Source organism: Homo sapiens, chromosome 1 (assembly GCF_000001405.40).
Source record: "Homo sapiens chromosome 1, GRCh38.p14 Primary Assembly".
NCBI lineage: Eukaryota > Metazoa > Chordata > Mammalia > Primates > Hominidae > Homo > Homo sapiens.
Window position 1 is genome coordinate 91,709,470 of NC_000001.11, and position 27,076 is coordinate 91,736,545.

The 27,076-nt window shown below is 41.5% G+C and overlaps 1 protein-coding gene across 12 annotated transcripts in view, besides 1 other annotated feature; it reads right to left on the minus strand.

The window, feature by feature from the left end:
* The window catches only part of TGFBR3 (transforming growth factor beta receptor 3), a 225,660-nt gene that overhangs the window by 29,127 nt on the left and 169,457 nt on the right, over positions 1-27,076 (minus strand). For 7 of the 12 annotated variants that reach the window (NR_036634.2, XM_047429247.1, XM_006710867.3 and 4 more), the window contains 9 exons: positions 25,307-25,490; positions 20,336-20,504; positions 18,190-18,337; positions 12,486-12,675; positions 10,424-10,761; positions 9,843-9,995; positions 7,099-7,239; positions 6,767-6,925; positions 2,774-3,073 (listed from right to left, as the gene is read on the minus strand). Coding sequence is in view for 11 of the 12 variants with exons in the window: in XM_047429247.1 (XP_047285203.1) it covers positions 2,774-3,073; positions 6,767-6,925; positions 7,099-7,239; positions 9,843-9,995; positions 10,424-10,761; positions 12,486-12,675; positions 18,190-18,337; positions 20,336-20,504; positions 25,307-25,490 (1,782 nt within the window). In the remaining variant the exon portion in view is untranslated. The remainder of the gene's footprint in view (positions 1-2,773; positions 3,074-6,766; positions 6,926-7,098; positions 7,240-9,842; positions 9,996-10,423; positions 10,762-12,485; positions 12,676-18,189; positions 18,338-20,335; positions 20,505-25,306; positions 25,491-27,076) is intronic. The other 5 variants (NM_001195684.1, XM_047429256.1, NM_001195683.2 and 2 more) reach the window with 1 other exon arrangement.
* Positions 23,063-23,357: an enhancer, noted in NCBI's record as "tiled region #4673; K562 Activating DNase matched - State 5:Enh". NCBI's record gives its function as "activates a minimal TATA promoter and a strong SV40 promoter by Sharpr-MPRA in K562 cells {active_cell/tissue: K562}" and the evidence as "EXISTENCE:reporter gene assay evidence [ECO:0000049][PMID:27701403]".

Genomic DNA, 27,076 nt, shown 5'->3' on the forward strand with positions numbered 1-27,076 from the left:
GATTTTACATTTTTCTCCAATAAGATAATCATGTTGCTGAGTTTGTTTCATTTTTAATCCTGGTATAGGCTCATGTAAAACTAAACTTTCCAGGGTCATCTGCTTTTAATGTTTCAAAATGCAGATCCTGGGGGCTGTGCCCAGGTTGTGGAGGCCATGAGATTAGCCGCTTCAAACCTATTAATGAGCATGCTCAGGCCCACTACATCTGTTTTGAAAAAATATGATCACACTCCGCACTTTTTCTTTAAAATAACTTTGTTTTCTTGTCTATATTTATCAATAGGTATAGTTCTTTTTTATTTTTCTTGAGACAGGGTCTTGCTGTGTTACCCAGGCTGGAGTACAGTGGTACAATCATGGCTCACTGCAGCCTTGGCCTCATGGGCTCAAGTCATACTCCTGCCTCAGCCTCCCCAGTAGCTGGGACTACAGGTGTGCACCACTACACCCAGCTAATATATATATAGTAGTGACAGGGGTCTCACTATGCTGACCAGGCTGGTCTCGAACTCCCAGCAAGCTGCCAAGCTCAGCCTCCCAAAGTGCTAGGATGACAGGCATGAGCCCACGCCCAGCCTAATAGGTATAACTCTAAAGTAAATGACAGCTTCTATGGTAAGAAGACATATTAATACAGCCATCATTTTAAGTCTATAGCAGGCATCCCAAAAAGCTAATCAAGTTCCATCTTTTCCAAACACAAAAGAGCAAAGACTTTAGGCCTTGCTGTCATTGCTGCTCTGAGCAACATGCCAGTCAGACACTTCTTATAAGACAACCCTCACTGCCCTACTCTTACCCCCTCAAAAAGAGAAAAGCCTTTAACAAGAGCCCTCTTGTAAAGAAAAACAACAAATTTTCTGTGGAGAGGCATGATGACTGAAAAGAGTTGCATTTTGCTTTCCTGTTTTAGTTTACTGTTACTTTCCTATTGAGCTCTTCAGTTAAGCAAGAGTCTATGATTCCGCATTTAACTCAGTGGAGTGTGACCCTGGGCAAGACACTCTGCTCTCCGGGTCTCGGTTTCATCAGCAAAGGGCAGGGTTGGTCTCAACAATCTCTGAGATCTCTTCCTAGAAGATTCTTTGGCGCTCTCTATTGTCACAGAAAGCACTCAGAAAATAATAGAAATGTGAAAATATTACCTATAAGCAGCAAACAGAAAGACAGTGGTAACAGCTCATCCAAGCCTCTGCCAGATAAAGGGCTGTCATTGTACATACTGTCCTATTTGCTCCTCTACCCAGGAGGGAAGCCAGGTATGATTATAACAGTATATGAGGAAATACAGGCTCTAAGGGGTCCAGAGACTGGCTTAAAGTCCCATTGGTGGCAGCAGAGCTTCCTTCTCAGTCCCAGGCTCTTTCCATGTTATCTTACCTTGGGGGTAAAGGGCGACTTGAGGTTTAGGGTTATATCCCATCATGTCATCCCCTGAGGCTTAGAACTCTCTTTACGATTAATTTTCCCAGATTAACACACATGAAGCTGGGCTGTTCCAGGCCAGGTCAGAGAGAAGTAACAGCCAAAGCCACAGCAAAGATCCCTGGTAACTGCTAGGTCTCCCCTCCAAGACCTCTAACCCTTAAACGTTACCCTTCTGCCCACAGGAAGCAGCTGGTCCCACAGCCACACATGAAGCTCCTCATGGCTCTCTACCACTGTCCACTAAGCCCCAACCCTGATGGTGAATGCCTACAAGGCTAAGGCATCACCGCCGCAAAAGCAAACCTAGGAATATAGTCTAAATCACTGTATATGTGCTCCCCAATGATTATGATCATATCTGCTCTATTTTCGTATGCAAACAAAATTCTCTTGGGTGTTATCAGAGAAAAGGATGCCCAGGGGACTATAATGATGCAAGGAATTCAGATCAATTGTAATCTATTTGGAAATGGTGGTTTTTCCTCCTACCTCCATACCTAAGACTTAAAATCTGTGAGTTAAATGAGAAAATTCCATACATACATTATTAATAACACTGCTTGATTCTTAGCCTTTTAGACATTGATATATGACTGCGAAAGGACTGGAAATCAGTTTACTCTGTGTGAGATAGCCACAGAATAAATGCACATATGAAATTATACATAATTATGGCAGATCACAGAAACAAAACTATGGCAGAAGATACCTTTCATATACAAGACCAACCTAGTGGGTATCATAGTTAACCTTGCAGATCTCCCCTATCAAATGCATTCCACCAAGGTCAAATGGTTCTGCTTTTTGTTATGGCAATAGAACATTCAATCTGGAGAGTGACAGGAGGCAAATATGATGAACTGATATGAAACTGAGAAAAGCTAAAATATTTGTTAGTTTCCCCTAGAAGTCTCCCTGAGACAAGTCAACCTTATATTTCACACAGAAAAGGTTAAAAAACAATGACAATGCCAGTCCCAGCAGGACCTGGAAAAATTAATTCTCACAATGAACTTGTCCTTTCGGCTTGCTGTGTTTTTGGCCTGCAAACTATCTGAAAAGCAAAGATAAAGCCAGAAATCTCCCTCCATGGAAAAGCGTCTTGATTTATCACTCGTAAGGTACTACTAAGTAGCACGCATGGAAAAAAGAAACTCATGCTGTCAGGATTTATTATCTAAGACTCCATAAAACTCACAGTTCCCTGCTAATAGTGACTTTAATATTTCAGTTGGGCAGTTCCAAAACAAAAAACCTCAACCTGCAAGACCTTGGGATTAAACTTTTCTGCCTCACCTAAAAATGCCAAAATAACCATCCGAATGGATGAAGGCCCACAAACCTTAGGCAACTTCTGGGGGTGCTTCTCCATCTTCGTACACAGCGTCAGCTCACACTGTAGAAAGAGCAGTGAGGTGTTGAAGACAGGCTTGAAGACAAAGCTGAATCGCTTCTTATCCATGTCAGCTTGCGGGATAGGAAAGTGCACTCTCTTGGGACTGTAGAATTTCACAGATTCATCTTTAGGACAAATATTCTCAATAATGGTGTAATGAGACATCCTATCAGGGTTCGAATATGGAGAGATAAAGCACGTTTGGATGGCAAATCCCAGTTCTTGTTCAGCCTTAGTAACAGATACCTATGAAAGAACAGAAAGATGAATTAGGAAATGAGTTAGCATCTCACTTTCACTTTAGGCACAAGGACCATATGCCAAGACAGCCCTTCAGATGACACGCTGCTTTATCTTCATAACATAGTTATAGCCTTCTTTCTAATTACAAAAGTAACACACACACATTGAAAGAAAAAGATATTTTCCACTTCAATTTGATATAGATGATGACAGTGAATTATTTCTTTCAAATATTAGTCCATTAGATTCAAATACAAGATGAGTAAGTCTCTTCCACCTCCCAATGAGTCCTCTGAGAGCTAAAAATAAAAACATATTTTGCATTTAAAGTGGATTTTCCGAAGTAAATAAAACACCAGTAGGCAAAGTCCCTAATGTTTTAATAGTACAACACTTATAAGCTAAGCTCTTTTTAAAGACTGACCAAAAAATAGAGTTCAGCGGCAAAATCTATTTAACCTAGGCAGGAAGACTGAGCTTCTAAATTGCAAAAAGTCAGAGTAAGCCTGATGAGAGTCCTGCTTCATCGGCGAGAAGGCAGAGCTGGCTCCGGCGCTGGGTGTCAGTGACGGTGCAACCTGGAGGCCATCATGGGCCTGGTAAAGTGTCCCAGCTGCTCACAGATCCAAATCAGCCTTGCCAAGTACTCCCCCTTCGCTCCATAAGCCCAGGGGTAGTTTAGGGGAAATCTAATCTGGAAACGTTTCCGACTCATTTATACTTCCCCCTTTGAAAACACTTGTATGGGCTACGTCCAAATTTTGTTAAGGTTCTTTTCCTTAGAAACAGGAAGTAATGTTTAGCCAAGTGTAAACAGAATTCAAACCTCAACTATCCTGAACTTAGCTAAAATCCCCAGACCAGAGGAGATTCTCCATTTGGTGACACGTGGATCACTGCATGAACTGCCCCTCCCTGCTATGCCTCATTCTTTGACTAAATTTAGGATCAAAATAAACTTAAACACTTGTAGAAACAGCTAGTCCTTACCCATAGACCAACAGCCGCAGAATCATTTCAAAAGACATGGAGATAGAAACAGACTTTCCACGCTGAGATACCCAGGGGAAACCCCTGACATCACATGGGGCTTTGAATCCGCAGCACTGTTGTGAAAGATTCCTACGTGGTGGTTAACTGCAGGACACTCAACAGTGAAAATGCTAATGAAGAGGATTCTGATAATGTCACTGTGGTGACATTCTGTAAATACTAACACTTCAGTATTTTTGCAATACTTCTGAAAAACAAGATATTCTATCTTGGAAAGGTGGCAAATTACATATGTGCTATTACTAAAAACTGCCGTTTAACATGAACTCAGAAACCACATGCCAAAATGTGTAACAGAGGGACTGCAAATCTCTTCTCTAATCTCAAAAGAAAGTATGTAGCGGCAGAATGTCTAAGGTATCCCAAAAAGGGATACCTTTGTAGCAGAGGGAAAAAATATATATTATTTTTTAATATATTTTATGTATATATAGTTTATATATATAAATTATCAGCAAATCTTTTACTAAAAAGGATTTTACTTTTAGACCAGAAGTGAGTAGGAGAAGGACTACGGGCTTTGTAGTGAGACGAGCTCATAAAAATTACATGCTCTCCTGCTCACGTGCTGGGCACCGAGACTCAGTTTACTCACCTACAGAATGAGAACACGAATACCCACAAGATATCATAATTGTGAAAACTAGCAAAGTAAAAGTTACATGCAAACAACACAGTTCCCAGAGTGTCAATAAATGCTACCTATTAGTAATAGTAGTATTCTAGATTTAAAATTTTGGGTTATTAACAACTGGGTTTGTAAATTCCCCAAGACAAATGAACCAAAAGAAAACTGCCATTATGTGACCAACAGTCACCTGGAGATGACCAATGAACAGGTGGCAACACTGTTAACTTGGATTATGAAAGGGACTGTATGGTGTAGAGGGAATAGAGGATAAACTATGAGAAATATAGGTGATATATGAAAAGGTATAAATGGGAAAACAAGAATGGAAAAAAAAAACTACCAATAACACACTTCAAGTAAGCCAGCATTTGAAGGATGGGGGAAAAAACCCAAAATATCCAGGGTAAGGTACAGGAGGAAGATTGACCACTGATTAGCATAAATCAGCAAAGCCAGGCATAGATTTGGAAAAGAACAATCTGCAATTATGCAGCACCCCTGAAATCCACAGCGCAATAGGGTGCTGTTGACCAACTGCCCATGTGAACTGTACAGCCAGAAAAGCAAGAGAAAAACAGCCATCTTGGCTTAGGAAAAGCATGTAGAAGGCAGTATATTTTCCCCAATGGAGAAAGAAGGTGTGCTCAAAGAAAGAGAACTCTCAGAATGGGGGAGGGGCAGAATCCATATGATCAAGGAAAACAACATCTAGCGCCAGCGGGCTCTGTCCCAGAGTCAGTGCGAATGTGAGAGTTATGTGTCTTTCCAAAACAGAAACACGTGCACCAAAGTCACTTTTAACATATGGAAGTACCCCACTTTGACCCTTTAAGCTTCTCACCCCTCCCACTATGAAGCTGAGCTTGCAGCTGAGCACCAAAACCAGCTCATTAGATGAGGACCTTCCCATAAGACCAACAGATGATATGCCCACTTGAAACACTAAGGTTGAAACATGAAAGGTTGTACCCAGGGCACAAGAAACAGCAGACATCCTGGTGCCATAAGGACATTTATCTTTTCTAGAATCCACTCTCTGAACCTGGATGTTTGCATTGATAAGACGTTATGTTTTCTCCCCTTTCAAATGGCACTTTGGAGATAAGTGATAGTCGTATCCAGCGAAGATCAGTCAGAGCTCTGGAGTCACACGGCCTATGAGCACTGAATCTGAACTCCACTAGTACCAGCTGTGTGGCCTCAGACAAATTTGTGCCTCAATTTTCTCATCCATAAAATGAAGATATTATTAGCCTCCCTTATAGGATGGCTCTAAAGAGTTAACTAACTGCTGCAATACTTACAACTCTGTTTGGCACATAATAAATCTGCAGCAAATGTTAGATGTTGTTATTTCATTATTACCGCCACTGCCTAATATTGTGTAGTCACTCCAGATTCCAGATTTAGGTTGCACATGATTATTAACATTATATATAGGAAATAGTTTAAATAAGTTTATACAGATACTCAGATCATGATCTAGAAAAAAAAATGTCATGAGTTATAATAGCACATAGCATTTCACTTAAAAGTGAGTGCAATTTAAAAGATAACAAGTCAGTTTCAGTGGCGGCATGGACCCACAGGGATTTGGCTGCCCTGCTGGGGGCTAAGGGGACTGTGCAGGGAAAAAAAAAGAAATAAAAGATAACATATGAGGTGGTTTTGAAATATTCCATGGTTAACTCTAACACTGCAACTACTGAACTACTGTTCCAAAAGCAAAGGACAGGGCTTTACCAGTAGAATTCACACTTGCCAATTTTTTTTTTTGTTAACATTCATCTACAAAATACTGTCTTCACTTAGCATAATGTATTAAATCTTGAAATTTCCTGCTTTGGTCAGAAGTCAGTCTGGAAGCGTTCTCTGAGCCAATCCCTCATCAGACCTGTTGAAGGTCTGTGAGGTAGGACAGGAAGAGGTCTGTACAGGGTATTTTAGCTGATGTCTAAGGAACTATAGCCCAGCACTAACCTAAAAGGTCAAGGCTAACTTTCAGGTCTCACCTCAACATAAACGTGTCCATTCTCTGGCACAGAGAAGACGCCCTGGGAGGGCACCAAAAAGAGGTCAGTGTTGTATAGCTCCATGTTGAAGGTGATGTTTCCGTGGGGCTGTTCCTGGAAGCTGCTGGGGTTCCTCACCTGCTGAAGGCTGCAATTAAACTGGAAATAACAACCCACAGGAAGATTAATGACAGTCATATGAAGGATGAAGGCCCTGTAGCTTCATGAGCTTTGGCTTTTAACATCTGATTTTATTTTCAGATAGTCCCTAACTAAAGCCAACAAAATAGACAGCATTTTCCACAAACCCCCTACTGATAACAAACACATACCACCACGATTTCAGGTCGGGTGAACAGGGAAGCATCTCCTTCATCCATATCTCCCGGAAATCCATTATCACCTGACTCCAGATCTTCATAACCATCTGGCCAACCACTACTGTCCCCAAGGGCTGGAACCTGTATCACAATCTAAAAGGCAAAGAAAGCACAGCCAATGTTATAAAAACACCAAACCATGTGTGTTTGGTTCTGCCTCACACAAACACTCATGTAATCATTCTGATGCAAATTGAAAATCTGACTTTAAGACAAAATAATAAAATAACATCCAGGCTTTTTCGAATTATATCTTCAAAGTGATGAAGAATAAGGAGAAACCCAATGCAGGTTCAAGTTAAAAGCTAAACTAATATTTGTATCTTCTCTTGTGAAAAATAAATATTTATGTTGTAACCATATTGAATAATTACAAATGATTTCAAATGGTGGGAAAACACTAGATACTAGAATGGAGTTGAATGGAGTTGTCAAGAGACTTGCCTATACCGTGAGAAGGGGCTTCCCCTTAAGAGTCTTTATATTATAAACTCTAAGAACTACTAGCAGTTGGCGAATACAAGAAGCTTTGGTTATATATATCCTTTAAGAGTTGTAGAAAGTTTGGTTGGAGTCAGCAGCGAAGGACCTAATGTTTGGTTATATATATCCTTTAAGAGTTGTAGAAAGTTTGGTTGGAGTCAGCAGCGAAGGACCTAATGTTTACTATGGAGCACATCTCTTCATTGCCGCTCTTGTACCCCTCTAACTTTTGCTCATTTCTTCCCTAAGAAATCTTTCTCTATGGTGTATGGATGTGGAAAAGAATACGTTTTATTCCAGGAATCTTTTTTTTCCACCTTTTTCGCTATCCACCTGCAGATATATTCCCGGAATCTATCTTGACATAGGTTGAAATTATGATTCCTGGATTATTTCTAAATAGGATGAGAAAATTCACCCAAGGGTCATGACGCCATAAATGAAATCCTAATTTCTTTTGCTTCACATGCTTGGATTCTGAACATGATGCAAAATAGAAATATATAGTAAGTCTGAAAATTACTACAAACAATTATAATTGGTGAGAACAGCTAAAACAGTCTCCAAAGGGAGTAGGATGGGAAGAAAATTAAAAAAAAAAAACAAACTGCCTTTCTCTCTGTACCAGGTCCTCCAAAGAAAGTACTGACGCCAATTAAAGGAAGCATCTAGGATATTGCTAAACTCAAAGATCATAATAAAGAAAAGAAAAATATGTGAGAAAAAAAGGAACTTTAAGGGATCATTACATGCCTTTCTCTCCTGAAGCAACTGACTTTTTTTTTTTTTTATTTTTTCTTAACAGACATATTACTGTAGCCACTTTTGGTGTTAACTTGGACCCCAGTTTTAAAATGCCATAATCAAGTATTTCAGTAATATATGACATTCATTATATCTGTAGACACTGGATAACTGAACGAAAATTCATGCTGCAATTATCAGGAGGTCAAAGGTTAATAAATTAATTATTTGAGTAACAAAAGGAGATTAGCAGGGCCTAGCCTGGTGTCTAGGAAAGATTAGTGGACAAGAGGTCAGGAAGTTGGATTCAGTCGTCCTGGCTCTGCCATTAGCCCATCCCTGGAGTTTAAAAAAGCAAGTCTTTTTAACTTCTTGGAGTTCAGTTTCCTCACCTGTGAAATGAAGAAGCTGAATAAGCTCATCTTAGGGTTATTTGCTGCTCCAACAGTCTAATATTCTCTGAGGAACAATATGCTTGGGTTCATGGGAGAGTCACTTCCCACAGGAACCACGCTGACCAGAGCACCTGATTGCTAGCCTCTCTTCTCTGGATGGGGTCGAACTAGCAGCCACAGCTCAGCCACCCCATGTCAAAGCTGGATATGGCACTAAGAAGACACCCCCCCTCCCACCCCAACCCACCCTGTGTCAAAGGTGGACACAGGGATCTCTGAGCCTTATTTTTACCATTAAAAGTAAAACCCAAAATGCAAAATCAGCACTTTAAAGTTCTTTTGGAACTTCACATTTTAAATTCTTTTAATATTCACTGCCTAGTCTCTGCACCCAAGAGAATGGGTTTAATCTGAAAAGATTTTGACCAACTGAGAAGAAAGATTTCTGGAAAATGCAGCTTAGCTATTGCAACGGTTTATCATTGGGGGAAATCTGTGGAATCTTTCTCCAAGTAACTTCAAAAGTAGGAGAGTTTCTTCAATGTATGGTCTTTCTTAGAGGTGGAGAGAGACTTAATAATTCCTTAAAGGTCCTTTTTGAGTTTTAAATTCTCTTTTTGGATTTTTATTCATGAAGGAGGGAGAAGTTCTCCTACTTCTGGACGAGACTCAAATGAGGCCAGAGAGACCACACATCTGGTTAACCCGGCTGTGCAGAGGTGCTGCTCGTTCATATAGCCCAGGGCCTTAAAATTTTATCCTTATAAGGGCCAGTTGAGCTTGGGCACTGAGAGAAGTCATAATCACCTTGACAGTGCAGCCTTTGTCATCAGGAGACGGAAACGGGGGGTGAGAAAACAGGCCTTCCAATTCCCAAAGACTCACCAATAAAACAAATAAAACCAAAGAGCTCAGGGTCAAAGTACATCCATTTTGTTGAGAACTGACACTTGGCTTTCTTCAGGCCTGGGGTGAAAACCCTCTTCATCTTCAAAGAAATGTTAAGACTAACTTTAAGGGAGCACACAGCCAGGCTCTGGCAAAGGGCAAAGCTTTGTTCTGGAAAACACTCACGGAGTTATAGTAGACCACACCATCAAGGGCTGACCACCGGGGCCGAGTACCGCAGCCATTCAGAGGAGACTCCAAAACAAAGTGTGTGCCATTCATCTTGGCCTTGCAGGTAGGATCCAACAGGGTGACGTCCATCCCCGAGTAGCCACTGGCCTAAAACAACAACCACCAAAGACATGGTTGGAGGCCCACAGGCAGTTCTGTTGTATAATTGACACAATTGACAATTGCCTGGTCTTCCAAGGACAGGCGATGAGAGGCCTGCATCGTGCCCCTTCCCCAAGTATCTCTTCCCAGCTGCCCACCTCTCAACAGCTCAAGGGTAGTATCTGTTGGCCTTGGAAATTCAATAGCAAAATATTGACACACAAGGATCTGGAACCCCCACCCCCTGTCACTGAGAACAACAGGAACCAGGTGAGAATCACAGCCAAGGGGAAGTAGGCCCATCCAACTGAGAAAACAGTATCAAGCCTCCGGAGTTCAAAAATGAAAGAGATAGGGAGAAATTACAGATGCAGACTAGGGCCAGATGGGAAAGGAGGTAGCCTCTCTTCCCTCCTGTAATCAGCTGCACCGACCTGAAAAGAATCTTTTTCTACAGCCACGATCATCTTCTCATTGTCACATTTGACAGACAGGGCAATATCCACGCTCCCTTGCACCTCTTCTGGCTCTCTGAGACCAGGAAACAGTTGTATGCTGGGAATGACAGGGTCCTTTGGCCGAGGGAGCCCATCTTCTCCCTCTTCATTCCAGACTCTCCTGGAAATATCTGGGAAAGGAAACGGAAGGCCTCCATTTTGGCCTTCCCCTCCCCGGATGGGCGGGTTCTGCAGGGCAGGCAGGGCACCAGGGTCCAGCAGGATCCGTAGCTCAGGAGGAATAGTGTGGACTTCCTCATCTCCCATCTCCTCTGCTGGTGAAAGAAGAAGGCAAAACATCAGCAGTGTTTGATGCCAGGCCACAACCAACATCATTACAGGCAGAACAGGAGGAATTAGCATAGAATGGGCAGGTGTAAAATGACTTTTAATAAGCAGTGCATAAAGGTCATTAGAAGTCTAGAAGCCTGAATTCTAGTCCTGGTGTTCTCTCTAACTAGCTCAGTGGCTTTAGGCAAGCGGCTTGCTTCTCTGTGCCTCAAATTTGCTTTTCCAATTTTTTAAATTAAGTGGTTGGAAATGATCAGTGGTTCTTAACTTTGGCTACACATGAAAATCACTTGGGAGCTTTAAAAAATATTCCTACGCCCAGGTTGTACCCCAAACAATTTAAACTCAGACTCTCTGGGGTGGTACCCAATCATTAATATGTTTTAGTCTCTCCATGTGTAACTGCAATGTGCACCTAAGACTGAGAACCAATGGAACAGACAGTTTCTAAGGCTGTCCAAGCTAGAAAAATCTGTGATTTAAGTTACATGATGCAATATTATTCCATTGAAATGCCACTAAAATACTTTCCTTGAATCAAGAGAGTCTTTTGAATAATTTCTCTAATGATGTCTTGAAACAATATTGGTATGTTAAAATTACTTCACCACCTTCTTTTTGACAGCTAAATTTTAACAGGTATCTGGGCACCTTGGCCTTTTGGAACATATTCCCTTGAAAGATAAGAAATAGCTGCATAGATACATTTATTCCTTCAAAGGGAGAGACGTATTTCCATACAATCAATACTCAATATTTTGTCGTATTTCTAACAACTAAAAAAATAATAATTTCCCCAGTATTCTTTATATCTACTATCTAAGGCCAACTGATGTACACTTGAGGTCAAATCCATCTCAGTGGAAGCTGGAAGTGAAGATGATAGTTGGACATTATCTCTCCTTTAATAATATTCTTTGGAAAGGACGCTAGAGCTGTAAGGGTCCAAAATAAGTCATAGCTTTGTAGGGTTTTTAATTTGTACTTTCACGAAAACCTTCACAACAACCCTGTAAGGTCTGTCCTATTATTTTCCCCTTATTACTGAAGAAAAATCTGTGGCTCAGAGGTGAAGCAACTTCTCCCCAAACAGTGACTAAATGGTAGAGCTGGGGCTTGAACCTGTACTCCTAATCCTTATTCTATTGGCATTTCACTCAGTGGTGGTACCATGAGCTGAGGAACAGGTCTAGGGATCACAAAACTAGGGTTTCAAGTCATGCTAGCTAGAAGACTCCAGAAAACCTCAAGAATTTGTTGACCCTCTGCTTTCCACCCCATTCAGCTGGGGTAGTAACTCCTGCCATCCTCTGGGTATGAACACTCAAGTATGAGTCCTCGTGACTATTTTCCTAAAAGATACAGCCTTTTACCATGAACTTCTTTCCTGCAGTCTTAACTCTTCTGTATTCTCAGCCATAAGTGGTCATTAGGTGTCTCGGAGAGAAGAACCTAATGTAATCACACTAAAGATAACCTATAACAAAGTTCTCTGAATATGCATTCAACTCTATGTCACTGAAAATCTGTATTACAGTTTCCTCAAAATCTCTGTCTAGGTAATTTTAAGCCTTCTGATAAAAAGTAGTCAAATTATTAAAATGTACAAGAGAAAAACAGCAACATATAAGCTGAAATGACAGTTCCTCACTGGAAAAGCTTCATTTGGGGGGTATTTTTTACATAACTTAAAAAACTTCTAACTTACCATTATTTTCAAGCCGAAGATGAAATCTATTAGCCACAGGAGCCATTGTGTATGAAGTTATTGGACTATAGCCATTGTCCAAAGCCCACTTCACCAGATTCCCTTGGGTTGAAGGAATGTCATCTCTTATTGATTTGGTCATTGTCATAGATCTTTCACTCTCTTTTCCAAAGCCAATACTGTTAGGAGCCTGAAGATATAGCAAAAAAATCACTCATGAGTCTAAAATTAAACAGTACTTTAGATAATAAAAATTAAATATCTTAAATAAGTAGATTCTATATTGTATATGAGGGAATTATTTATTCTTTTGACCCCTGTTTTCCTTGGGCTAAGAACGATGATGTGAAAAACCTTTAATAGCCGACTAAAAGACATCTACGTATGCTGCTTGATCATACTATTTGTATTGCCTATGCTGATAAAAAAAATCATCCAATGACATGTAAGTAGTTACATACTAAGTATGCCTAGTCTATAACTGTACAGTTAGTCTAATGTTTAAATTATTAACACACACAGTACATATGTATAATAAACTTTCCCTTTTTTTTACTTAAAATGACATATAAAGTATACAAACAGACATGTTATATTGCCCTCAAATTCCCATGCTTCCACTTCCTATTCCCCTAGATTTCAATGAAAGATAGCACAATCACTTACAGCCACTTAACAATGGAGATATGTCCTGAGAAATGCATCATTAGGTGATTTAGTCATTGTGTGAGCATCATAGAGTGCACTTACACAAACCTACATGGTAGAGCCTACTACACACCTAGGCTATATGGTACAGCCTACTGCTCCTAGGCTACAAACCTGCACAGCATGTTACTGCACTGAATACTGTAGGCAGTAGTAACATGATGGTCAGTATTTGTGCATCTAAACATAGAAAAGGTACAGTAAAAATATGGTATTACAATCTGATAAGACCACTGTCGTATATGTGGTCCCTCACTGACTGAACCATATTATATGCTCAAGACTGTACTTCAGTGTGGAGACTATCCCATCTATATAAACTATTAAATTCCACATGGTAAAACAACCAATGTTTATATTTCATCTAAAATGTATGATCAATTAGTAATTCTATAACTGTATTCATTTGCCAATTCTACTAACTGAATATACTTGTATCTTCTATTCTAAATATTAATTAATTAATTTAGGTTACTCTCCCCTTAAGTATCACTGTTTTATCCAGTAATACAAGTAGGTCTTAAGATTAGCTTTCAGGGATGGGTGCAATACTTCACACCTATAATACTAGCATTTGGGGAGGCTGAGGCGGAAGGACTGCTTGAGCCCAAGAGTTTGAGACGAGCTTGGGTAACACAGGAAGATCCCATCTCTACAAAAATTTTAAAATTAGCCAGGCATGGTGGCATTTGCCTGCAGTCCCAGCTACTCAGGAGGCTGAGGTGGGAGGATCACCTGAGCCCGTGAGTTAGAGGTTGCAGTAAGCTATAGTCATGCCACTGCACTCTAGCCTGGGTGACAGAGGGAGACCCTGCCTTAAAAAAAAAAAAAAAAAAAAAAAAAAAAGACTAGCTTTCACTGGATAATCAATTACAAAATTAAAATGACAGAAATATTTTTGGGAAAGGATATAAATGGACTCTACTCAACCAGGTTATTCAACAAGGACATGGAAGGTAAATTTATACATCAGTTGCTGACTCCTGTGGCAGTGCTCTTCTCAGAGGGTGAGAGAGCTAAATGCTGCAGAGGGGACCCCAAAGGGAAGGTACCATATTTTCAACAACTGCACCAACAGGGCTGGAAAGCCCTTCCAGCATGCAGATTACACCATTTTCGTGCTGTATAAAAATCACTTTAATTTCCATGCCCAGTGATTTTCTCCTGCATGCATGCAGCATTTTTCCTAAATTCCTCATTTGTTTCCCATTCTGTTTGCCCCTAACATGACTAAATATTAATCCTTTCCCACTGTAAAACCCTAAAAGATTCACAGGCTCTAAGTTCTCTTGGCCTATGTGGTTGTGGGATATTGGCTGAAGCCACATATATTTCAACTCAAATCTTAAAGGATCTCATTCAGTATATTTTTCTATTACCTAAAGTGCTTATGTGTGGGAATACTGCCAGACTCACCAGTCACAAATTCTATATGCAAAGGAACCAGACAGAACTTTAACCAACTTCTGCGGCCATTTGTAAACTCAGTTTAATAGATTCAGAATATTTTAGCTCTTACTCCAATTCAGAAAAAAACTCCTTAGGGTAAAGAAGGGCTAGGGAGGAAAGAAACAAAGAGGAAGGAAGGAAGGAAAGAGCTAAAATGAGATCATGAAAGATCCAATTTATTCTTAGAACTTTTTATGCATTCAGTCAACAGTAGTTTCTTAGGTACAGCTTCTTCCAGCCTTTTAGAGCTACATGTCATTTTGATTGGCTGGAATCACAACAATTGGCCTAAACAACACTGCTTGCCCTCATCTGCCCTAGTCTCTTTCATGTTGTTGGACAGCTGAGAAAATATCGTATTTCCAGAACACTATCATCATAACTGCCACCTGTCCTTTTGCACCAATGTGGAATGAGCTGTTTGCACCTTTCCAGATTAAATCTAGGAGCTGTCAATACATCTCATTTTGATTATGTCTGGGAACTTAAAAGACTCAACATCTATCTACACATTTGTAAAGCAGCAAGGCTTGGGACAATGGCAGACAAGTTGGTTCCCAGCTTTGAGCAAATTCTCACACTGTACTTCTGGAAGTCCCTAGGCTTTTTCCAGCTTTAGTGGAGCTACGCCAAATGCAGGTGTACAAGGAGGTCTCCAAAAACCACCACCATCTTTCCCAGCCATATCTTCATGAAAGATAAGGAGTTAAGTCTAAGTGCCTCCACACTCCCCCATATTTACATCTGGACTGATGGTATAGGGGAGGGAGGACTAAGGAAGGGAATGGCCAGAGAGCGTAGTGCATATGCCCACTGAGATTTTTAAAAATGTATTCTCTAAGAACAAGCTGCCCATCATCAACCCTGAAGTCCTGAGGCCACATGAAATAATATAAGAGGAAACCTCTAACAGGTTTCCTCCATCTATTTTTTTATGTTTTAGAGGTTCTTCCTACCATAAAAGTGATTATGCATGGTCCACACAGGACCTGAGAAAAGAGCCAGAGCTGGACAAGGCAATGTAGACACCTCCAATGTTCCCATTCTTGCCCACTGCCTGGCTCTTTGCACCTCTTTTGACCATTTTGCCATCTGGAGGACACATTCTGCCCATGCCCCACCCCCGACACACACATGCATAAGACATCCATATTTAATGGTGCTCTTCTTTAAATTACTCCATCAGACTCCTTACAATTCCCTTAGTAGACATCTTTCTTTCTTTTCACCTTGTATAGAGAAGTGCCCTAATTGTTCCTATAGACACTCTGAAAGAGTTATTTATGGAAGGAAGATGAACCCCCTTTTTATGGCAGGCACTCTGCTAGGCATATATTATCTTATTTCTCTTCCAAAATATAAGGAGATAGGCATTACCATTCCTGTTAGAGAAGGAGAACCTAAGACTCACAGAAGCAACACATGTAGCTGAGAACTTACATGCGCAGGCCCTGTGTCCAGTGCTTTAGGTGAAATATCCTATAGGCCCTTAACAAGTATTTGGCAAATAAATGAACAAACAAATGAACTCAGCTAATGAACCACAAACTCAAGGTGAGTACTATCATCATACCCATTTCACAGGTGACCAAACAGACTCCGTGTTCATCAGTCAGACTGCACAACATCTACTAGGAGTAGTAATTGGAAATGGGATTTAAATCTAGCCCTGTCTGGCACAAAGTCAAGATTCTTTCAATTTCACTATGCTGTCTCTAAAGGAAATACTAGAAACAAGGTTTCTATAAACCATTGCCCCCTTTCTAAATAGTAATTTAAACTTTTGTGGGAGCAGGTACCTTTCCCTCACAGCACAGTCAGAATTCACATCTGAAACAGGGAATTAGAAAATCACAAAGCATAAACTGGTTGGGAGAATAAAAAAGAACATCATGAAACATTACCTAATTGTTTAGTAATGTTGTCATGCATTGTCCAAAATTGGCCTGGAACAAGCGTACAGCCAAGGAGAGGAACATAAACAGATCTTGCACTGGGATGAGCAATCTCATTTCTAGCCTTTCTGATTCATATGAGAGATGGGGACATTCAAAGTGAACTCCAGGACTGCCATGGACCAGGCACACATACTCAGGGAAAGAGCCATCGAAGGGTCAAGGCTGAAAGAATATTTACACAAGAACTCCAGCAGGGAATTAAAATGTACCGTATGTTTTTGCCTTTCAAAGCATGATTCCCTTTCCTGTTTTTGTTATTCTGAAATTAAAAACATTTGGCCGGTGTGCCAGGCAGCAAAAGCAGCAGACAGCCTAGGTCACCAACACCCCTCATGCCATGCCAGAGAAGGCAATCAAAACATCTCTGACTTCAGATCATGGCTAGGCTTTGGGCTTGACAACAAATTAATGTATCACCATTACATATGATGGCTCACTGGGATCCTAGCAAAGTTATAAAAAAAAAAAAAACCCACGGGAACCAGAAACGATTACTTTAAAATTAAAATATGTGTGCTAGTGGTTTTGCCTGCTGCCTCTGGTGAGTGCTTTTACATGACGTTGCCAAGGGAACTGTTGGCTTTGCTCACTGTGGTATCACATGGAAGGTGCCATGAATGAATGAATAATACCAAAACCAAGGGCATCCCTCTCCCAAAATACTGAAAACATAAAACCCACTTCAGCTTACTCAGTGCAGGAACTAAAAGAGAGATTGGCCAAAAAAAAAAAAAAAAAAAAAAAAAATTTGAGCCCATAGAAGAGATACTAAAGAGATAATTATCTTCTTAAAAAATAGGGAGGAGGATTTTTCTTTAACTTTCAATATAATTCAGTCAAATAGTTATTGCCTAAGCATATTTGAGATAAGATTTACTTTACCAAGTTTCAACATTCAACTTTTGAGGAAACCAGCTGCTGTTTGCCCATCATGCCAATGGGCTAAGCCTTGTGCGTACATCTCTATTAAATAGAGGGCCTTGGGAACAAGCTGGAGTAGACTTGTCCAGCATCATTTCACTGACTTCGCACTTACTGTGATTCTTCTATCAGTGTTTCACACTTAGGAGTTGGAAGCAAGCAAAAAGACATGCCAATATTTCGTATTTAACTCAAAAAGAAAAGTCAATGATGTGAGCTGGGGTCAGCCTAATAGTCCATACTTTCTCTAAGTACCTAACTCCAAAATAAAAGCTGATATTCGGTACTATGACACTGAGGTCCTTGTGGGATGCTCAATATGAAGGCTTAATTGTGTTCATTACTTTACACTTACTATTAGTGGAAAGCATACTAATGTATTTCAGGAATTTCACAAATGAGGGAGCTGGGGTTCAGAGAGGTTAGGGGACTTGCCAAAGGTCACAGTGGGATTACCTGGACTCAGACCTGGGTCCGTCTTAATCCAAGGCCATGTTTGAACAACCGCACCTATTTTATAGGAGCATGCTATTTTGCAAAGTGAAAAATAATTGACAGAGCTTAGAGAGTCCAAAGAGGCAGGAACTTTAAAAATAACACTTATAAAGTACAGCTTAAATTGTTGTCATTTATCTAAACAAAACAAAAGACATGCTCCACCAACTTACAATAATTTTCAGGCTTCCCTTAACATCAAAAGATTTGATCACCCAGTTGACAGACTTTTTGCACTTCAAGATCAGGATGAGATTTTTGACCACTTCAAGATCCTCTTGAGAAGGTCTTATATCAATTGTTATATCCACCTGGAAAGCACTGTGAATGGAAGACAAAGGCAAAGTTAAGACCTACATGCCAGAAAGTTGCAACTATCTCCCCTCTTCCAAGTCTTCATGTTTCTAGTGTCTGGCCAGTTGATTAAAAAGCTGGAGTTGATCCCAGGCCAATGACATGTGCAAAACAGATTGTTACTGCACACATAACAAAATTGTTTTACATAACAATAGAAACATATGCTTGCTGATAATTAGTCACTAAAGTTTTTCTCTTCTTTGATGGAAAAGAGGTGGTTACTTAATGCAGCCACTGTTTGAAGTGGACTTGAACGAACCAGAAGAGTTTACTTTTGAAGCAGTATTGTTGCTTTTTCAACCTTCAACACCTTCGATGTACAGGATTCCCATTTGGCTAATATGCTCAAATTCCTTCAAAACTGAAGTAGGTGGCAGTTTGGTGAGTTGGGGGCGGGGTGTTGGGATAAGGGAAGCATGGTGGTAAAAAAAAAAATTAGGAAACTTCAGAGTAAAATAAGAGACAAAAGGCTAAAGAATTTCTTGATTTATATAAGGTTTGCTTAAGTCATTAACAATTGCTACAGAATCGTATCTGCATTTACTTTCCCAAACTTCTGGATATAAGGTTATTAAAATAAAGAAAACAGATGGTCAACCAAGTGATTACTGGAAAATTGATGAACACAACCCAAACTTCTAAGAATTCGTAAAAAAGAGAATTTTTTACTAAACAATAACATCCCTGTCATTCTGAATTTAAGGGAACAGTCTTTCTTTCCATCTCAGCTTTACACACTTGTAAAGCATAAAATGCATGGTATACTCCAATGAAGCCTCAGGCCTGACGTCGAAGCACATTCACCAGACTGCTCCTATTCCCATTCCCTTTTCACTTTCTACAAAATTCTTCAAGTGGCCAGAGTGGAATCTTATCAAAACGATCTGTAGCTTACACGCTTTGAAAGTCAAACCCCGATTAGCATTTTCACCTCGAAATCCCTCTACAATATACATTTAAATTTTCAAGTCACTAGTCCAGATGCAAAGGAAGGAGGGTGAAATGCAGGCTCATGTGGGAAAAGAACCTACTTTTTCTCCTTTTTCTTTAATTCCCTAATTATTCTTGATAGGGAGGGTCGAATTTCCAATCCAGGGGTAGGAAGCTGAGAGGGAGAACAAGCGCACAAGGGAGAGGCAAGTTCTATCGAATGGCTTTTTGGTATGTCACCATGAAGGGCCACTCCAGCATACACACACACACACACACACACACACACACACACACACACACACCAAGCACACAAGGGAGAGGCAAGCGCTATCGAATGGCTCTTTCGTATGTCACCATGGAGGGCCACTCCAGCATACACACACACACACACACACACACACACACACACACACACACACACCAAGCACACAAGGGAGAGGCAAGTTCTATCGAATGGCTCTTTGGTATGGCACCATGAAGAGCCACTCCACCACACACGTGCATGCGCATACACACACACACACACACACACACACACAGATTTAACGCAAACAGCTCTGAGTGCCTAAGCGCTCTAAGGACACCACAAACAGAGCTTTATTAAAAACAGAAGGTTACTAAGATGATAATTATATTAATAGGGCATATTTTGTAATTTTCCTATCAGGGATAACCTTAGTCAGAGGTGATAAAGATGAAGGAAGAGTGACTGTGTCCTGTAATTAACACCCAGAAGTTTGGAACAGGCTTCAGGAATTCATCTGAAATATCTGGGATCTAGGGACAGATGCAGAATATAAAATATACCACTGGTGCCTTTACTCTGTTCTTCAAAGCTTCTGTGAAACACATCTGATGAAGCACACCTGAAGCATCAATGGCTACCTTCCCTCCTGCGTGAAGCATCAATGGCTCCCTTCCCTCCTGCGTAGGGGAGGGTGTAGGACGGGCTACACCTCTCCCTGCCTCAAGTCAAGGAAGATCTTTACTTTCATCTCTTGTCACACTCACACACTTAGACTCACTTACCTGTAGGGGTTAGAGTTGGGGGTGATTAGCTCGATGATGTGTACTTCCTCATTCTGGGGCTGGCTGGACATCACACACCCTTCTGCTGCTTTGGGTTGAAGGTACTCAGCAAGGTAATTGAGTGAGAGAAAATTCTTCCCTATGTTGCACTTTGGAGGGAACACTTGATCTGAAAGAGGCACAGGACAATCTGTCAAACCACTGAGGTACTCGGTAACCAGATTCAAAGGAAGGAGGGTGACAGTGAAACTGAGCAAATGGCAGACACAGGGAACCACGAGCTCAAAGGATGGTTCTTCGTCTGTGAAGTCCGCAACCACTGCCCTGAAATGCATCCTGTTATGGTCACCAGTGACCGCCTATTGACTAGCCCCCAACTAGGGGCCTCTTTTGGCTAAATCTTCTCCTTGCATGTTCTCTGTGATACTTCCTGTCCTCGTCTGTTTCCTCTGACCTATCTTTCACATCTCTTCCACTGGTTCCTCCTCTGCTCAGAATCTGTATAGACCCCAACCCAGAGAATCTGATTCAGAACACCCAGGCGGGGCCTAGGGAGCTTTCTTTTTTGAAAAGCTCGTAGTAGATTCCAATATAAACCAAGGCTAAGAACTTCTCAGCTCCTTCCTCAATCCCCTTTCTATCTCATTCTTTTTCTAGGTGATCTCAATCACTCCCATGGTTTCAACCTGTACCTAGATCATGACTCCTTTTCTGAGCAGTTGACTTATACTGTCATCTGTCTACCAAGCATCTCCTATCTAAAAATCCAATACTTATGTATTTCATGGTCAGCGTATTTAACATTCAATCCATTCTATCCCCAAATGCACTCCTCCTTGGATATTTGTTATTTCAACTATCAGGAGAAGCAACCACCTAATTAATCCTCCGACACCCCATGTAGAATTAATCTTTCCCTCATATGTATTCCTCACAGCACTTTATACTCTGAAGATGAAAGGTAGGAATTTGGGGGAAATAAAGAAGGCAGACTTTCACTCTTTCTCACAATCTGAACACAGACAACTCAAGTTTATATGGCACTTTACAGTTTACAAAGTGCTTTCGCAAACATTATCTCACTGTGCTGAGAGTTGCTCACCACCTCCACCCGGGAAAGTGATGCAAGTACCAGAATCTGAAGACACTCCCACAACGGCACATGCCATTTACACAGCACGGCGGCTGATGGGATTTCCATCCACGGGCTTAAATATTTCAACAGAACTTGAAAGAAACTGCTGGCAGTGTGACAGCTGGGACCAGTGTCAAGGAAGTTCTAGGTGTAGCATGCTTTTTTCAGAAGGGATAATTAATCAGAGGCCTGGCACTACTATAAAACAGACTTCTGCCTTTTCCATTTTGAGGACAGGATGCCAGGGTTCAAGTCCACATGGAAGTCTCACTTTGGAGTAAGGAATCCAACCAGGGGGTCCCAAGACTGGGTTGATACTGTCCCTCCCCCTCCCCACTTGTGCAACCTCCCTTGTGCTGAGGTCCGCAGCACACACTGGGGCATCATGGCTCTGGCCACCACAGCACCCCCAGCACCACCCCAGAACAAAGGGGACCAAAGCCTCTGTTTGTCGGCTCGTTGCGAGAGAGCATTGGGTTTGCACTCTGCAGTCTCCTCTAATTCCCCTCCCCCTCAGAGAGAAAAGCTCAAGGCTCCACTGACTCAGGCTGCTAGAGCAGCCTCCCTCCACATCTGCTGAGGGTTTTGCCAGATGAGCAAATGAGGTATGCACACCGTGCAGCTGCAGCCCTGCGGATGCCTCCCCCACATCACAGGATGGAAAATGATATTGGAACGGCAAGGTTGAAATTTAATTAAGAAAGAGCGTCTATGGGCCAGGGACAGGACAGTCTGGAACTCAAGAGACTAGGGCCCTCCTGGGATTGTGGCCGGCATATCCAGTTCATAGGTGTGCCTGGCTTGTATCTGGCACATAGTGGGCATATGGTATAGGTTTCCTGAATTAACAAACAATGATGTGAGATTTGAGACAAATAACAAAATATTCACTCATGTGAAGCCACTAGGAAAGGTCTAATTGTTCAAAAGTTGATGTTATTAAGGGCTCTAGTCCCAGAAGCCATTGTCACTAAGTTGAATAAGCTGACCACTTTTGTTGTGTGTGGTTTCTCCCCCGCTCCCCAATGACTTTCCGAATGCCTGGCATCAAAACTTATACCGAGTGCCAAGTAGAAAGGAAACCACAAAGGGGAATTCCCGGGTAGAAACCTGGCAAGTTTGGGGGCAGGGGGAGTCACATGCTTATTTGTATTTTAGGGAAAGATTGACAAATGACTTTGAGACACAGAAGGATATACTCTGAGAGCAGGAATGAACCTGGGGGGTAATGCAAACACCTCATTTTCCTGCTGTGGAAACTGAGGCTCTGGTGGTAAGTCAATGTTGCTTGAAGCCTCGCAGCAAGACCAGCTGGGATAAGAGCAAAACTCTTAAATTCTTTCATTCTGGGTATATAGATGAGAGCAGTTCCCAAACGTCAGCAAGCATCAGATCTCCTAAAGGGCTGATTGAAACACTGACTGCTGGGTCCCACCCCCAGAGTTCCTGATTCAGTTGGTCTGGGTTGGGCCTGAGAACTGGCATTTCCATCAAGTCCCCAAGTGATGCGGATGCTGCTGGGGCAAAAACCACACTCTGAGAACTGCTCGGGTTAGAGCAACCAGGCCTCATGGCCTGCGATCGCTGGGTACAAGAAAGGTAGAGCCAGGTCGGATTCTGGGAAGTGGGGGATGAAGCTTGCTCAGTGCAGTCTGAGCCGTGGTGATAAACATATCACTTTATGGTCCACTGACCTCACCAAGGAACCTCCTTTCCCTACTGCTCCTCTCTCCACGGCATGGCCCGGTGACTCATACTCAACTGGTGGCTGGAGTCAAGTTTCAGGGGTTCCGAAGGTGTTACCAAGGAGTTAACAGTTTTTACTGCACCAGACACAAGGTCCTTTAAGTTGGCTTCCCCTACCCAGTGTGCACAGGCTGAACCAGTTAAGTGACAACCCGTGGCTCTCAGGGTAAGTGACTACTGTGCTTAGAAAGAAGCTCATGCACTGCCGAGAGAACACAGTCCAACATTCTAAATGTTATTATAACAAATTTTCTTATTCTAACAAATTCCAAGGGGTAATCAACATTCTTTCATGCTACTAGAATTCTGCTTCAGAAACGCGGCCCGCTGGCCAGGGCTTAGAGTCTTTATTAAAAGAAATTTTTCATTTTGTCTCAATGGGATTTGACCTCTGTTATTAGCTACCTATCATGAGAGTACAGAAACAAACTTAGACTTTTTGAGCCCAGCCCTCCTCTAAGTCCCCTTCTCTCTGCCTCAACTAAACAAGGATGTTCATCCAGGTGGACCACTTCCCTTTTTGAGTTATGCTTATTTGGCTAGGACTTAAAGTACAGCTCAGGCAACAAGCGTTAAACTCAAGAGTCAGGAAGCCTGGGTTTGTGTTCTGGCTTTGTCACTTGTTAGTAACTTGGATGTGAGCAGGTTCACTTAGCCCTCCACTAAGCCCTCTGTAAAACGGTGGAAATGACATCTTCCTCCTGGGGTTACTGTGGGGTTAAGTGGGATGCACGTGAAGGCCCCTGAAATGGCTTCTGCACGTAGCATCCTCTCCGACGTCCACGTCCACCTTTCCTGCCTCTGTCTCTCACACACTTTAAAGCAGCCCAGATCCAAATAAGAGTTGGGATCAAGTGTTCACTAACCCACCCTTCCCTGTCTTGTCTATGAGGAGGTGACAGCTGCTGTAGAATTTAACAGAAAGCAGCTGGATGCTGAAGACCTTAAACGCAGTGTTCACACAATCAGCCAGCTATAACAAGGACCCATTCACAAGAGTTATTTCCTAGTAACTTATGGGGGTTCCAAATATACTCAACTGAAAATAATGATTTTTAAAAAAAGGTCTGGCCAGGTGCGGTGGCTCATGCCTGTAATCCCAGCACTTTGAGAGAACAAGGGAGGAGGATCTCTTAACCAGCAGTTCAAAACCAGCCTGGGCAACACAGCAAGACCTGTGTCTACAAAAAATTGTAAAAATTAGCCAGGTATGATGGCATATGCCTGTAGTCCCAGCTTCTTGGGAGACTGAAGCAGGAGAATCACTTGAGCCCTGCAGGTTGAGGCTGCAGTGAGCACTGATCGCACCACTGCACTCCAGCCTGGGCAACAGAGCAAGACCCTGTTGAAGGAAGGAAGGGAGGGAGAGAGGGAGGGAGGGAGGGAGGGAGGAAAAGAATGAAAGAATGAAAGAATGAGAAAGAAAGAGAAGGTTTTTTGTTTTTGTTTTTGTTTTAAAAAAGGCTTTCAAAACTGGGTTTCTGGATATTTCTATCCCTTTGCAATGCAAGGAAATTTAAATAGGCAATCTCTTATCAAGACCCTACACTTCTTTTCTCCAATAATTTGTCCTTGTAATAGTCATTTGTACTAAAAATATATTTAAATACTTTTCCTTTGCTATTGTCCAAAATGTAACCTATGTCTCAGCACCACAAACTGACACAGGCTTCAAACGTTTGCAGAACACAGGTAAGAGGAAGCCACCTGCTGACCCATTCATTCTGCCAGCTCTTCCACTCCATCAGTCATCACCTCCTTCCCACACCCTCAGCTTCTCACCTCCACTTACTTTTTTTGACTTCTGTGCATGGGTGTCTTCTAAATCCCACACAACAACCTTCTCCTCTCTCCCCCTGCTCCTCCCTGTGTTTCACTTGGCCATAACCAGGCCTGCTTCCCCAGGAGGAAAAAAGAAGGGAGGGAATATGGGGGGCGGTGGAGAGGCCTGGGGCCAAATGACCCCTCAGGTCCCTTCCAGGTCCAACATTCTGTAATTCTGTGATTCCTTGCCCTAACCACCTGGTTTCAGAAAAGAAAACAATTGCCTGTCATAAATCAGTCATTAACTGAAGCCACATAAAATTTACCTTCCCCCACTTTAATATAAATGTTTCTTGCTATCTTGAGTTCGGTGAATGAAGTAACTGCTCCATACTCTTTTCGGGCCCAATTTAACAGATGTTCATTTCCATGGGGGAAGTTCCTTTCTTCTGTTTCTGCTGTCAAGGAGAAGTTTGCTGATGAAAACTGGACCACAGAACCCTCAGACACCTAGAGGAAAGAGAATTGCGTATTTAACATGGTGCAGTCACCGGAGCTGAATCATAATTAGAGAAAGTACTTCTCAAATCGAAGTGCTTGTAAATCGAACCTCTTCCCTTTGTTATACAAGCAGATCAGCGTTTTTAAGCAGCGGATTCAAGGAATAATCCCAAGCCTAGTCCTCCCAGACAAAGGCAAAACTACCAATGCAGGATGTCCCTCTGAACTCTGAAAGAACCTTGTGAGGACGGACTGCATTGCACATTGAGTAATCGTAAGAATTATCACTGCTATTTCCAAGAAATCTAAATCGAAGACCAATCTTACAATGAATGTATTTCAAGTCAAGTGGGAAGCCTTGATGAATGTTCTCGTGGGCTTATAAAAAGCTTCAGGATCAAGACAAGTGATCCCAAAGTCCTGCTAGCAACTGATCACGACTTTCAGGTCTTCCACAGTTGCAGCATCTGCCAACAGAGTCATCACAATAGGGAAACAGCGAGAGTCCTCTTGGTTTATGTTCACCTCAGCACTGAGATAAAAATGGCCAAAGGTTGCCAGCCTTTCTATCACATTGCTCTATTTCATAAGAGTGAGATGAATGTTTGTAACAGTTTATTGTGTAAGACCCCCAAATTCCCATAGATAATGAAGTCAAGAGGCTGTTAAACTGATCTAATAAAACTTTCAGGATGACGTATGCAAGTACCTCATTCTTGCTGAATGTATTTAGACCACTGCTGACCTAGCATATCATGGTATATGTGTAATTAACACATCCAAAGGAGGAAAATCATCATCTTGTTGCTGTGCTATAATCAAATTTAGTTGCTGGTGAAAATATGTATGCCATTTTTGTTGGCTAGCATTTATAAAATAACTGATTTTTTCAATGTCAGAGTGAAACCTCAAAATGTGGGCAAGAAGGCTCACAAATTCTCAGGTCATAGAACTATAAATGTCTTGTATTAAATTTCACATGAACCATTTATTCATAACGAAAAGCATGCAGTTTCTGAAGTAAGACTAAGAAGCAAGTCGAGGGCAGGGATTTTATTAGTGGTTCTATCACAGCAGCATTTTTAACACACACAAAATTATATTTTCCCAGCTACTGTGCTAGGCATTAATATTTTCTATACAATTATATAAACGTATCTTCTAAAAACGCTGGCAAAAAAAAGTACTTCAATTAATTGATTCCATGACCTACTAATGTTGCAAGCTGAAAACTAGAATCACCTGAAAAGTTTCTAGATATCCTGATGCCCGGGCCACACAGATGGTACAGAGCTACATGTTCCACTCTGGTTTTGTTTATAACTGGCATCAGGACATTCAGAAATGATCGTGACTACACTTGACAGCACTGATACGTAGTAAGTGTGCAGTCAGTGGTAGCTGTGTAGAACTACACAGGGCTCTGTGGAAGCCCTGAATTAATCACTAATAAACTCGGTGTAAACCAAAGCTACTCACAACAGCTACCACTGACTGCACACTTACTACGTATCAGTGCTGTCAAGTGTAGTCACGATCATTTCTGAATGTCCTGATGCCAGTTATAAACAAAACCAGAGGGGAACATGTAGCTC